Source organism: Homo sapiens, chromosome 20 (genome assembly GCF_000001405.40).
Source record: "Homo sapiens chromosome 20, GRCh38.p14 Primary Assembly".
NCBI lineage: Eukaryota > Metazoa > Chordata > Mammalia > Primates > Hominidae > Homo > Homo sapiens.
This window is the reverse complement of record NC_000020.11, coordinates 54191820-54206048: the sequence shown is the minus strand read 5'-3', so window position 1 is coordinate 54206048 and position 14229 is coordinate 54191820. Positions and strand designations below refer to the sequence as shown.

The 14229-nt window shown below is 43.1% G+C and overlaps 1 annotated feature.

Annotated features, from left to right (window-relative positions):
• Window positions 413-642: an enhancer, noted in NCBI's record as "active region_18140". NCBI's record gives its function as "activates an Ori minimal core promoter by ATAC-STARR-seq in GM12878 lymphoblastoid cells {active_cell/tissue: GM12878}" and the evidence as "EXISTENCE:reporter gene assay evidence [ECO:0000049][PMID:35858748]".

The following is a 14229-nucleotide window of genomic DNA, read 5'->3' as shown; positions in this document are numbered from 1 at the left end:
AGGACAGAGCAGCATGGAGCGAGGCTGGGGTGCAAGGCAGGGGCCAGATCTGGGCATGTTTTAGAACTTGGTGAGGCCAAACTGGGGGAGGGAGAGAGAGAAAGAGAGAAAGAATTCTGACTTTTTCAAAGCTTTATTGAGAAATGGCTGAGTTGAAAGCTGAGGAACAGCGGAGCAGGAATTTTGAGGAAATGTAATTGTATGGTGGGGACCGAAAGTAGCATAGGGGCTTTGAGAGAGAGAAGCACTTCAATCCTCAGGTGCATAGATCTTAGGACCAGAAGGGACCTAAACTCTCACCTACGTTAACCTTTGCCTTTTGCTGAAGTATAATAATAATGAGAGTTCATATGGTTTGGCTGTGTTCCCACCCAAATCTCCTCTTGAATGGTAGCTCCCATAATTTCCATGTGTTGTGGGAGGGACCTGGTGGGAGATAATTGAATCATGGGGGCGGTTTCCTCTATTCTGTTCTCATGGTAGTGAATAAGTCTCATGAGATCCGATGGTTTTATAAGGGGTTTCCCCTTTCTCTCGTCTCATTCTCTCCTGTCGGCCACCACGTAAGATGCGCCTTTTGCCTTCCACCATGATGGTGAGGCCTCCCCAGCCACGTGGAACTGTGAGTCCATCAAATCTCTTTTTCTTTATAAATTACCCAGTCTTGGGTATGTCTTTATCAGCAATGTGAAAACGGACTAATGCAATAGTAACAGTAACATACAAAACTGACAGGGTACATACTATGTGGCCTGCACCTTGCTAAATGTTTTAATCCTCACCATACCACACAATATTGTTATCGATCATTTTACAGGAGAGGAAATAGAGTTTCAGGAGGACAAAGCTACTTGGCCAAGGCTCCAGCAGCCAGGAAGTACCAGAGCCTGGGTTCGAACTCTTGGTGAACCTGGCTCCAGAGACCACTCTCCTAAGCACCAGGCTTTACCCATCACCACAAGTCATGTATAAAGTCAGATGTGTCCCCGAGTGGGCAGCTCATAGTGGACATTGCAGCTCCTGTCACCTGACTTGCATGAGTAAAGTGTTTAAGACTCAATAAAGGGCTTACTGGAGCCAGACTGCCTGCGTTCAAATCATACCTGCACCACTTTCTAATTTTGATGTTAGACAAGTTACTTTCATGGCAAAAATAATAATGTGTCTCTAATAGGCTTGTTGCAAAGAGTAGAAGAGATAATACGTGCAAATAAAATGCATTGTAAGCTCTCAGGAAATGTTAGCTATGATTACTTTCTCAGTTCAGCCCAGTTGCGTCTGAAATTCCACTGCCCAAGTTATGATCTTTCAAATCTCCTCTTCAAGAACTCCCCTGGCTTGGTATTACTGCTAACTACCCCCATGGCCATGATTAGTGCTGCCTTTTGAGACTGTAGCATCCATTTCAGATGTGTAGAAATTGGAAAGCATCCTGGGGGAGAAGAATGACAATGGTTAGAAGCCATCCCAGCCGGAATCTTTAAAGCAGACCCCAAGGCAAAGGCCTAGATACTGCTTCTTCATTAAGGAGTACAATCCCAGGGCAGCCAGAGCGAGGAAAAAGCGGAATGAAGCAGGTCAGGGAAGGCAGCAGAGCCCATACCAGGAGGCCTCACCAAGCCGACCTTTGCTTGGTATCAAGCACGACTGGTTGCTCCCTCTCTGGGGACTGTCCTGTAAGAGGCTGTGTTAACCAGAACACAGGAGAGTTCAGCTGGGGAGAACTCTTATTTGCCAGTTCCTGCCTCCCATTCAAAGGCTGGCCCCACGGGGACCTCACTCCCAGACACTTCCAGGTTGCTCATTGAGGCTCCCATAATTTTTCTCACCTCAGCCTTCCACAGGGAAGCCCCCAGGTGGAGGAACAAGGTGTGAGGCTGTAAGCACGAGCCAACTGGACGGAGAGGCAGCCCTGCAAGTCTGCACACCATGGCCGGTGTGGAGCTGGTCACTGTGGGAGCTGCTGGGGTGGAGCAGGTGGCCAATGGCAGGTGAGAACAAAGACAGGTTAAACCAAGAGGCTTTAACATGACACATCCTTAGGTGCTGTCTAACACTGAGGCCCATAAAATCAGCCAAGAAGTTCAGGTTATAACATACTGAAGAGTCAGTGAATTAAATTCTTTTAGGACTTTAAAATTACATTGGACAAACCACAGAATGAGAGAAAATATTTGCAAACTAAATATTTAGTTTAATATTTAATTAAGAAATAAGGCAAGAAAAAAGGGATTAACAGCCAGAGTATATGAGGAGCACAAACAACTCAATAGGAAAAAAACTAATAGTCCAGTTTAAAAATGGGCAAAAGATCTGAATAGACATTCTTCTAAAGCAGGCATACAAATGGCAAATGGAGATATGAAAAGGTGCTCGACATCACTGAACATCAGAGAAATGCAAATCCAAACTCCAATGAGATATCAGCTCATCCCAGCTAAAAATTGCTTTTTCCAAAAGACAGACAATAACAAATGCCAGAGAGGATGTGGAGAAAAGGGAACCCTCATACGCTGTTGGTGGGAATGTAAATTAGTACAACCACTGCAAAGAACAGTAGAGAGCTTCCTCAAAAAACTAAAAATAGAGCTACCACATAATCCAGCAATTGCACTGCTAGGTATATAACCCCCAATAAGGAAATCAGTATATCGAAGAGATGTCTGCATTCCCATGTTTATTGCAGCGCTATTCACAATAGCCAAGATTCAGAAACAACCTAAGTGTCCATCAACAGACGAATGGATAAAGAGTTGGTGGGAGTGTAAATTAGTTCAACCATTATGGAAGAAAGTGTGGTGATTCCTGAAGGATCTAGAACCAGAAATACCATTTGACCCAGCAATCCCATTACTGGGTATATACTCAAAGGATTATAAATCATTCTACTATAAAGACACATGCACAGATATGTTTATTGCAGCACAATTTACAATAGCAAAGACTTGGAACCAACCCAAATGCCCATCAATGATAGACTGGATAAAGAAAATGTGGCACATACACACCATGAAATACTATGCAGCCATAAAAAAGAATGAGATCATGTCCTTTGCAGGGACATGGATTAAACTGGAAGCCATAATTCTCAGCAAAGTAACACAGGAACAGAAAACAAAATGCCACACATTCTCACTCGTAAGTGGGAGTTGAACAATGAGAACACATGGACACAGAGAGGGGAACATCACACACCAGGGCCTGTCAGGGGTAGGGGGCAAGGGGAGGGATAGCATTAGAACAAATACCTAATGCATGCAGGGCTTAAAACCTAGATGAAGGTTGATGGGTGCAGCAAACCACCATGGCACATATACCTATGTAACAAACCTGCACGTTCTGCACATGTATCCCAGAACTTAAAGTAAAATGAAAATACAAAAGAAAATGTGGCACCTATACACAACGGAGTACTATTCAGCCATAAAAAAAAGAAAGAATGAGAGCCTGTCATTTGCTATAACATGGATAAAACTGGAAGACATTATGTTAGGTGAAATAAGCTAGGCACAAAAAGACAGATGTTGCGTGTTCTCACTGATTTGTGGGAGCTAAAAGCCTTAAAACAACTGAACCCATGGAAATGGAGAGTAGGATGGTTACCAGAGGCTGAAAAGGGTACTAGGGGACGGGGAAGTGGGAATGGTTAATGGGTATAAAAATTAGTCATCTAGAATGAATGAGATCTAATATTTGATAGCACAACAGGGTGACTACAGTCAACAATAATTTATTGTACATTTTAAAATAACTAAAAGAGTGTAACCGAGTTGTTTGTAACACAAAGGATAAATGCCTGAGGTGATGGATGCACTATTTACCCTGATGTGATTTTTTTTTTTTTTTTTGAGACAGAGTTTTGCTCTTGTTGCTCAGGCTGGAGTGCAATGGCGTGATCTTGGCTCACCACAACCTCCACCTCCCGGGTTCAAGGGATTCTCCTGCCTCAGCCTCCCGAGTAGTTGAGATTACAGGCTTGCGCCACCACACCCAGTGAATTTTGTATTTTTAGTAGAGGCGGGGTTTTGCCATGTTGGTCAGGCTGGTCTCAAACTCCAACCTCAGCTGATCCATCTGCCTTGGCCTCCCAAAGTGCTGGGATTACAGGTGTGAGCCACGGTACCCGGCCCCTGATGTGATTATTACACATTGTATGCCCATATCAAAATATCTCAGGTACCCCATAAATATTTATGCCTACTGTGTACCCACAACATTAAAAATAAATACATAAATGTAAATAACAATAATAAAATAAAATCAGATTGGTCCAAATGCTAATACATGTGCTGCCAAGAAACCCTGAGAAGCCTGCCTCATGCAGGGCCCACTTATTCATCACCATGCTTCCTTAATGTCCAAGTGCCTGGTTAGCTAGTCACTGAGCTGAGAAATTGCACCAGGAGACAGGGGCTCCAGAGACAGAAGGGCTAGGGGGCACTGTCTCCTCTAACAGGTGATATGGAGGTAGGGGCTGGATCCCTTTGGCTGGGCTCAAAGAAGCCATGGCTCCAATCGGATGCTCTATGAGGCTTTGGCTGCTCCATCATTATCATGAGATGGTGCACGCTTCTCCATGCATTAGTTCCCCACACAGACCATACAAAAGCAGAGAGAAAAGGCACTGGGCAGAGAGTCTGCGGGCACAGGGCAGTGTCATTGAATCTGGACAGAGGACAGTGGCGGCTCCTGGCAGTCTTGGTGCTGACTCAGCTCCCTCTGATGCCCCTATCTTCCCCTTGCTTTAGAGGTTTTCCTTCTCATTCTATTTCTCATCATTCTTGTCCCTCTCCTCTCCCCAGACCTTGCTATCCTTTGAGCTAATCTCTCTCCTAGCAGAAAAACTCGTTCTGCAAGTCCGCATGGTACAGGGACTTTCAAGTCTGCTGAGCATCTTCTCATTTCCTGATGTGGAGCATTTCCGACCTTTGTTTCTGGTCCTTTCTCCAGCTGGGGACTGTCCCTGGCTCTCCGGGGAGAAGCATGGGGTACAAGTGGAAGCATGTGGATCCTGCAGGTCAGGGAGGAGAATCAACAATGACCATTTGGAAAGACTTTCCCTTATGCCAGGTTGAAAACTGGCCTCCCACTGACTGGATCCAGGCTATGTTTTCTTTGACCCATATGGTATTTTTCTTTAGTGGAACCAATATTTGAGATTTTTAGTTTTGCTTGAGCTGGTACAATCAGCATCCTGGTGACATTGCACCTGTGTTTCTGCCTGATGGGCAGCTGCTGGTGCTGCTTTGGCCTGGCACATTCGGCCAGCAGGCTCTCTCCTGGGCCTGGCAGACCCCCCCACTCACAGAGCGCACACAGGTACATGTAGGGCACCTGCCCATCCATGTGCTCACCTGTGAGGCCCTCCAGGTATATGAACTTGTAACTCCCAGCCTTCTGTTTTAACATACCTAAATGAGAGCATTTATGCGTGTGTTTGTTTGAAATTTCTACCATGCTAGGTGCTATTGCAAGCAGAAAAATAAAGCAGACAAGGTGCTTGGCATCATGAAGCTTATGGTTGGCAAACATATGACCAAAGTCACAGCACCAGAAGCTGCAACCCTGGGGCGAGTCCAGGGGAGAAAGAGCTTGAATCTTGCTGGAGTGGTCCCTGAGGACTGTGGAATCAGTGGGATGTTGCTTGGACCAAGAAGGGCAGGTGCTCAGCATTGAGGGCATAACACTGAAAAAACAGACAAAACTCTTTGTCCTCATGTAGCTTACATTCTATTGATAGGAAAAAGATCATAACCAAAACATATAAGTAAATTATACAGTATGTTAGAAAGTTTTATTAGTATAAATGCTATTAATCGCTCCAACAAGAACTCATAAAATTATAATAAAAGACTGTGTGACTACCATCAGGAACACTCCGTGAGGAAGATATAAGGACAGAAATGGTCAGTATATTGACTGGAAAATGAAGAGAAAAAAAAAACCTGTTTGAATTGGTATGTAAGCTACAAAATTGTCCAGACATGTCCCAGTTTAATTTAGATTTTGTCACAAAGCGAGAATGAGGTTATCACATCATTTCCTGGCAGTACGCACCTGGGTGCCCTCCAAAACCTGCAACACCTGCTCCAGGCTCCTGGTTCTAAGATTTAAAAAGGAAACCTTGATCAGATTCCTCTTCCATGCTGGCCATGAGGAGTGAGAGGCAAGAAGGAGCAAATCCCCAGGATCACGCAGCAATTTGGTTTGGCGCCTGCAGAGGGCACCCGAGGAACATGACAGTGTTCCCCAGACTTAAATCATTCAAATCCACCTTCCGAATATTTTGCACTTCTTTTGAATCTTACTGTGCTGGGTAATGTTAAGTACTGTCAGTTTGTATTTAGCTAAACAATTTTGCAAATGGTTTTTCCATAACGCTGTTTGAAATGTTTCATTGTTTTCCCATTGCACTTAAATTTCTTACCAGGGCCTAGCCTCCCTCCCTGACCTTGTTTTGGACCATCTTTCCCCTCACTCACTGTGCTTCACCCTCTTGGGCCTCCATTCTGTGAATGCTACACGCTCCCTCCTGCCTCAGGGCCTTTGCACTTGCTTTTCCTGCTGCCTATGATGCCTTTCTCCTATTGTTCAGCCAGCTGCATTCTACCGTCTGCCTATCCTTAAGACTCAGCGTCTATGTTACTCCCATCAAGGAAGCTGCTATGATTTGAATGTGTCCTCCAGAGTTCGTAGTTGAAATTTAATGGCCAATGTGGTTTTACAATGAGGCGGGGGTCTTTAAGTCTGAGGACAGAGCCCTCAAGAATGGGATTGGGTCTCTTATAGAAGGGCTTGAGGGAACGAGTTTGTGTTGGTCCATTCTCCCACTGCTATAAAGAACTGCCCAACACTGGGTAATTTAGAAAGGAAAGAGGTTTAATTGACTCGCAGTTCCACATGGCTGGGGAGGCCTCAGGAACCTTACAATCATGGCGGGAGGTGAAGGGAAAGCAAGGCACCTTCTTAACAGGGCGGCAAGATCAAGAATAAATGCAGGAAGAACTACCAAACACAAAACCATCAGACCTCGTGAGAACTCACTCACTATCACGAAAACAGAGTAGGCGAAACCGCCCCCTTGATTCAATTATCTCCACCTGGTCTTTCCCTTGACACATGGAGATTATGGGGATTACAATTCAAGATGAGATTTTGGGTGAGGACACAGCCAAACCATATCAAGGTTCATTCTCTTCTGTTCTTCTACCATGTAAGGACATAGCATTCTGCCCTGCAGAGGACACAGCAACAAGTTGGCATCTTAGAAGGAGAGACTGGACCTCTCACCAGCCATTAAACCTACAGGTGCCTTGATCTTGGATTTTCCAGCCTCCAGAACTGTCAGGAATAAATCTCTATTGTTTATAAATTACCTAGACTCAGGACTTTAGTTGTAGCAGCATAGACTGACTAAGACACAAGCTTTCCTCAAACGCACCCATCTCCCAGACAAGAGCAGCATCCGCTGCCCCCTAAAGCAGCTTTCTACGCCTCCCTGGTATATTCCCTTTTGAATTCTGTGTCCCTGTTAAACTGAGAGCACCAAAGGAAACAGATCATGCCTGTTTTCTTCATCTCTGTTGTTGCGGCACCAACAGGAAAGTAGGTGCTTAACAAATGTTAACTAATGAATAAATCAATGCATGAATAAATAAGTGATAATGTATTTAGAGATTAATACAGTAATATATAATACAGCGTAAGCTGTTGAGGAATTCACTCCACTACAATGTACAAGAGTCCATAACTTATTGCATTCTTTTTGTTTTGTTTTGTTTTGTTTTTTGGCTAGGCCTAGTACTTACGCAAATTGTGATCATGTGGACTCATTGTTCGAGCAACACTCCTTTCTTCAGCAGATGGCACTGTGACCCCAAAATCTGGCATGTTATTTTTCTCTCTGCAACTCCTGAAGAATTGTCTACACGCTGCAAAGCAAGATGACACAAACCCAGGAAACCACTGCCTTTGGGCCAAAGTAGAATCATCTTTTGCTAGTTTGAATTCTTAACCGAATTTTTACCTGGCTAAAAGTACAGCATTTTTAAAAGCCCTTCAACGTATACAATGTTTTTAGACCTTTATAAAACAGACCATTAGTTAACCAACCCTATAAAGGAGGTAGTATTATCATTATTACACACAGATGGTATAACTGAGGCAAGAGTACGGGACATAATGTGCTCGAGGACACAGAGCTAGAAACAGTAGAGCTAGAGTTGAAACTGGCACCTCTTGCATTCCATGCTCTTAACCTTACATTACATTGCAACGGAAATGGAAAGAAAGGGAAGGGTGGGACAGAGATTGCAATGGAGGAATGAACATAACTTGGGAACTCCTAAGTTATGAGTTATTCGCAAGGTACAGAGAATAAAAAATAACACAAGAATTTTACTTCTTGTGAAAAGAACAAATTACAGAAGCTATTTTTGACAATAGTGAGTTTTTTTAGCTTATCCTTAAAGTAAACAAAAGTTTAGAGTTAATCATAACATATGTATACTATTATTTTTTAAGTTGTTCCTGCATCCAATGGTGACATAAACACATTGGCTCCAATAACAGAATGAGATTTCATTTCCAGGTAAAGATGCTACCTCGAGGCAAATTGAATGCTCAAATCTTTCTACAGGTAAAATCTTGTTTTAATAAAAGGCACTTCCACGTTTGTGTTTACACAATGAGCCTCTTCCCATATTCGGTCAGGTGTTATCTGAGCATACTGAAGGAGAGCTGAGGTCCTGGCTACGATGGATTCCATTTGACCTAATAAATGTTGAATTGCCAATGTAATCAGTGATTCTTGTAGCAGTGTAGGACATGGATCCTAGGAGAAGATTTCAGTACTTTGCGAGCTACCACTTGCTAAGCTCCGGAAAAGCTGTCTGCGAAGACATGAGGAGGAGGGGCAGTCCCTAAATTGTCAATGGCCTTAAAAAGAGGCTGTATTTCTCTTAAGCATTTAATATATACTTTGGGTTCTTAAATTAATTTTGCAAATTAATTCAGTTCAAACTATAGGTATAATTTTCATTTTGTAGGTGGTGAAAGGAGGCTCAGGACAATTGGGTAATGCCTCTAAGTTTCTATACCTTATATAACTGTTATCTGATAAAATAAGGATACAAATCGTAGTTATTCTCATCTACACTGTATTTTCCCATACCCATAAAAATTAAATATTATACTTCTCAAAAAGAATCCTGCCTCACTTCCTTTAGAACTAACTTTGTTCAAACAAATTTTAGTACCACCCAAGTAATTATGCTATCTAGTTATGTTTGTGAAACAAGTCTACATGTATTTTTTGCATAATTTGACAAGATATATAGGACAACATAGCAATGAAAACTTTTCTCCTTTTTATTTTAAGATCCCACTCCCCAAAGGGGGGGAACTGTATTAAAAGCACTTGAATAATGCATACATAGGGAATTAATCTATATAATGCATTATTTTAATAGGTTTATATCCAACTGTAACTCATCATTACAGACTTTATTTTGTAATAATCTCTTTGCTGATGGGGAATGGGAAGCAAAATTGTATTTATCAGACTCCACATTTGATTGGCTGCCCAAGAAGAATTAGTTCTCCTGAACATGTGGTGCTTGCCTCCCGACACCCATTTCGTGCTCTTCTGGCAATAGCCCTGATTTCAATGTGAGGACCCTCCCCTTCCTCCCTATCAGTCCATGTGATCTGGGTGGACTGTCATACCACCTTAGTGGTGGAGCCTGAGAACAGCCGTCAGCCATTCAGCAACTCATGGTCACATGACTGTTCAGGAATAAGCACAGAACCAAACTGAGGCCAATCAGAGCCTCAACTTCTGATTCCAATGGGAGCCAGAAGCCCTCTCTTCCTATTTGCTGTGAAGCTGTAGAAATGGCAGTTCTGGCATAGTGGCTGGTATCTTGCCATATCAGGAGCGAACTCATTTAAAAACGGAACCAACACAGAAGTGAAACTGAGGAACAGGGAGAGATAAAACAGGGCCTGATAGAAAGCATTCCCCTAGTCACACTGAGAGCTCAGCTAGCTGTCCCCTTGAACTTTTCAATGACTTGAGTCATTGAATTCATTTGCTTAGGAAAGTTTGGTTTAGTTATCTGTCACTTAAAATCAAAAGAGTGCTCACTGATGCGTCACGGCTACATTAACGTCTGGACAGAGCCTGAGACGAGGGCTTGCTGCAGGGAGTTCATGGTGGGAAGGGATCTGGGGAAGCTGGAGGAAACGTGAAAAAGGTGAAGATAGGAAGCTGTTCCAAGGGCTGCCACTGGGCTGATGACCCTGTGGGCCGCTGGAGCTTGCTCCTCCTGCAAACCCTCTGGTCTCCAGCACCTGTCCCTCAGAACTGTCCTCACTACAGAGACAGCATTTATCCACCCAGCCCCATTCAGCCAAGGGTTGCCCCGGTAGGTGTTACCTCTCCTGCACTTTCAGGTTTGGTCTTGCGCTAGATGGCTGCAGGTGCTGCCTGTGGCCAGTAGAAAAGCCCCAGGACATGAGGTACTACTGAGGTCAGGTTCACCTGGCCACAGCTGTTTGTCAACTTAATGCCAGAGCAACAAGATAGGTCAGGAGGACATAAGACAAGGCATCAAAGACGTCCAATGCTATTAAAATTCATTAGCATCACTGCACATTTGTTCCCTAAGATTAGACTTTATACATTTTGATAAAACTGGACAAGAACAGGGTTGAATCTGATGAAGCCCAACCAGGACTTAAATATTGATGTCTTTCACACACGATACTTACGACCAAATAAGTCCCCTTAAGGGAATTTTCTGCATCAAAGTCTTGGCAAATTGTCCTGCTGCAGAACCGGGTCAGACCAGCTGCACATGGGGAGGAGAGTTTTCCCTTGAAGTAAACGGATGGCCCCTGCTGTTACTCATTGCTGGAAAAATCAGCCTGAAAACAGCAAATGAGAGCAAGAGAGACGAACCTTCGATTCCGGTAAAGGAACACTCTCACCTTGACCCAGAGTTTAAGGGTAGGGTAGGAACATAATCCTGGCCTTGGCCTCTGACTCATTCATGCAACACATAGTTATTGAATGTCATCAGGAGCAACCACAGACTGTGAGGCCCAGTGCAGAACGAAAACCCAAGGCCTCTTGTTCAAACACTATTAACAATTTCAGGATGGCAACAGTAGAGCACTGAGTCATGTGCAGGGATCTTCTGAGTGCAGGACCCTGTGTGACCACACGGGCTGCATGCCTGCAAAGTCCGTCCTGTCATCTAGGTGTCACTTACTGTGCTAGGTTCTGGGCATACACTGGCAAACAAAACAGATATGACACCCACACTCAAAAAGCTTAGAGTCTAGCCTGGGGTGTATACGGTTCCCTCCATCAGTCTCTTTCCCAGATATCTTTCACAGCATGAGCACTCGCTATAGCGAGTTTGATTCACTATATGTATATATATATTTATATATGTAATGTATACATAAATATCTAAAATATATATTTATTATATATACATATACACATATAATATTTATATATATTTGTTCCATTTGTTTATATATATAAATATAGATATTTATTATATATTTGTTCCATCCTTATTCTCTCTGGGGGCACTCACCCATGCTATGCCCTCTGTTCTCTATAACTATATAAACTAATGTTTATATATTTATATTATATAAATATATGTAGATAAAATAATAATTATATATTATATAAATATATGTAGATGATATATATATAATTATATATTATATACACATAAAATTTTTCATGCAACTTATTCCCTAAGGCTCTGGAGTGCAGCTGAAGAATCAGTGATTACATTGGCTATTCTAATGCAGGGGTTATTGGCTATTCTAACGCAGAGCTATTCAAATGTTATCTGGCAATTTTGAAGAATGTCAGAAGTGTCTCCAGGAAGCAGGCGGATCTCTGAGGGGCAGCTTCCTATGGGATTGTCTAGTATAAATTTAACTATCAGCATTAACTGGGATGTCCAAGAGAGACACCAAAAAAGTTAGATTTACCCACCTGTTTGGGAAAGAAAAAATGTCTAAGCAATTTGAGCATTAAGAAATTGAAAGCAAGAATGTTGTTCAGATAACCCACAGGTATTTGAATGATACTGGCTGAATATCACTCTGTTTGGGTCTATTTTTTGTCAACCAAACAACCATTCGTTGAGGTTAACTTACTTCAATGTTGAATGTTAACGCGCTCTTCCCTCCACAGGTTTTTACCTGTCATATCTAGAGTTTTCTAGGATGCCACACCATGTATTCCAGAATAAGTCTTTCTGCTTCATTGGCTCCAGGTTTTTCATGATGTCCTTCACCACCTCTGCCACTTTGCCAAAAACTTCCTATAAGACCTCAGAGACAAAGCTTGGCTGATGGGAGAATTAAAGGGAAGTTCAATCAGAGAGTAACAGATACTGAGCAAGCTTAGACTTGACCTCAAGCCATGGAAGAGGCATGTTTCTTGATTGTCTCGTGATCTTCCACCTCAGCAACAGGAAACTCCACCTCTAGCCCCGGAAGCTGTTCCAGGGTCTTTGTGCCAAACTGACTTCCAAAATCCATTGAGTCTTCACTTACTATCTGGGGATTGGTCTATTCCTAAAACGATTAGCCGTGGGAATGTGTAGGGTTTACGGTTTGGATCTGAGACCATAGGTCAATCACACTGTAATTCATATCAATCATTTTCTCAAAGTATAGTTGTCCAATTTTAATAAATGTCATATGGAAGGTTGTATTCTAGGTACTTTTAAATCTCTCCTTTCAAGGAATTCAATGTCTTGGAATCCAATGCTTCCGTTGGGTGTCTTTGCCTGCAAGAAATTGAAACTAATTTGAACTACTTTAAACAATGAATGGTGATTTGCTAAGCAATATATGGGGTGTCTTATGGAACCTTTAGCAACCAGGATTCTAGTTTTAGGAAATCAAGTAGATTCCTTCGTGTTGAGGCAATTGTACTTTTAAAACATTTCTGCAAATTCTTTGATATCCTCCCATCAAAAGCCTACTTCCCTTCCTTTGAATATGGACTTATCTGGTGAGTCCCCTCTAACCAAAAAAGTGCAGCAGAAGCAGAAGTTGCCATATGACTTCCAAGGTTGGGCTAGAAGAGGTAATCTAGTTTTACCTTGTTCTCTCTGGGGGCATTAACCCTTGGTGCCCACCTTTTGTGCTGCAAGGAAGTCCAGGCACCCAGCAGTGTTCCAATCAATGGTCCCTGCTGAGACCCCAGCTCTCAGCCAGTATCAACTGCCAGACTTGAGTGAGGAAGACTTAAGGTGAATCTAGCCCCGGTCACCAACTCTCTGCAACTGCACAGGAAACCTCAGTGAGGAGATGAGAGTCATCTCCCAGCATGATGAGGTATGATAATAATAAAAGACTGTTATTGTTTCACACCACCAAGTCTGGAGTGTGATATATAACCAGAGCACCCCGGTAGCAATCAGGACCCCAGTATCAACTACAGAAGTGGAAGGGCACCAACTCGCTCTTCCCACTGCCAGCAGCCAGAGGGTGGGTAGATGACCTGGCGTCGATGGATCCACGGCTCTTAATTCTTCACAGCAGGATCCTCTGGTGGGGGGTTCTGGCCATGCATCAGTGGTGGGTTTCCGTTTTGGAATCCTCCCCACACCCCAAGCTTGATCATCTAGCCACACTTTTGCAAGCCTTTGAATGCAATACAATCTTTATGGATGAGGATAGCCGGGCCAGTTTCTGTTGCTTACAACTAAAAAAAGTCCAAATTGCTACTTGATCAGAAAGTGCCTTTGGAAGAGATTGCAGATGGAAACCATTAGGACATCAGACCTTTGCCTCATTTCTCCTCTGTGCTGTCTGCTCAACTGCTTCAATCCTCTTTACCTCTGCAAACCACCTTCCTCTATTGGCTTTAGTTATGTGTGGAGCAAAAATGGTCTCCCCTAGCTTCTGAGATCAAGAGGCCAGATCAGACGGATGAGCTGGATTTTTCTCAAATCCCAAATCAGTGCTTAGGAGTAAAAGTCTGATTTTTTGTAAAATTTTTCTCAAATCCCAAATCAGTGCTTAGGAGTAAAAGGCTGATTTTTTGTATTTTCAGTAGAGATGGGGTTTCACTGTGTTAGCCAGGATGGTCTCGATCTCCTGACCTCGTGACCTGCCCGCCTTGGCCTCCCAAAGTGCTGGGATTACAGGCGTGAGCCACCACGCCCAGCCCATTTAGCA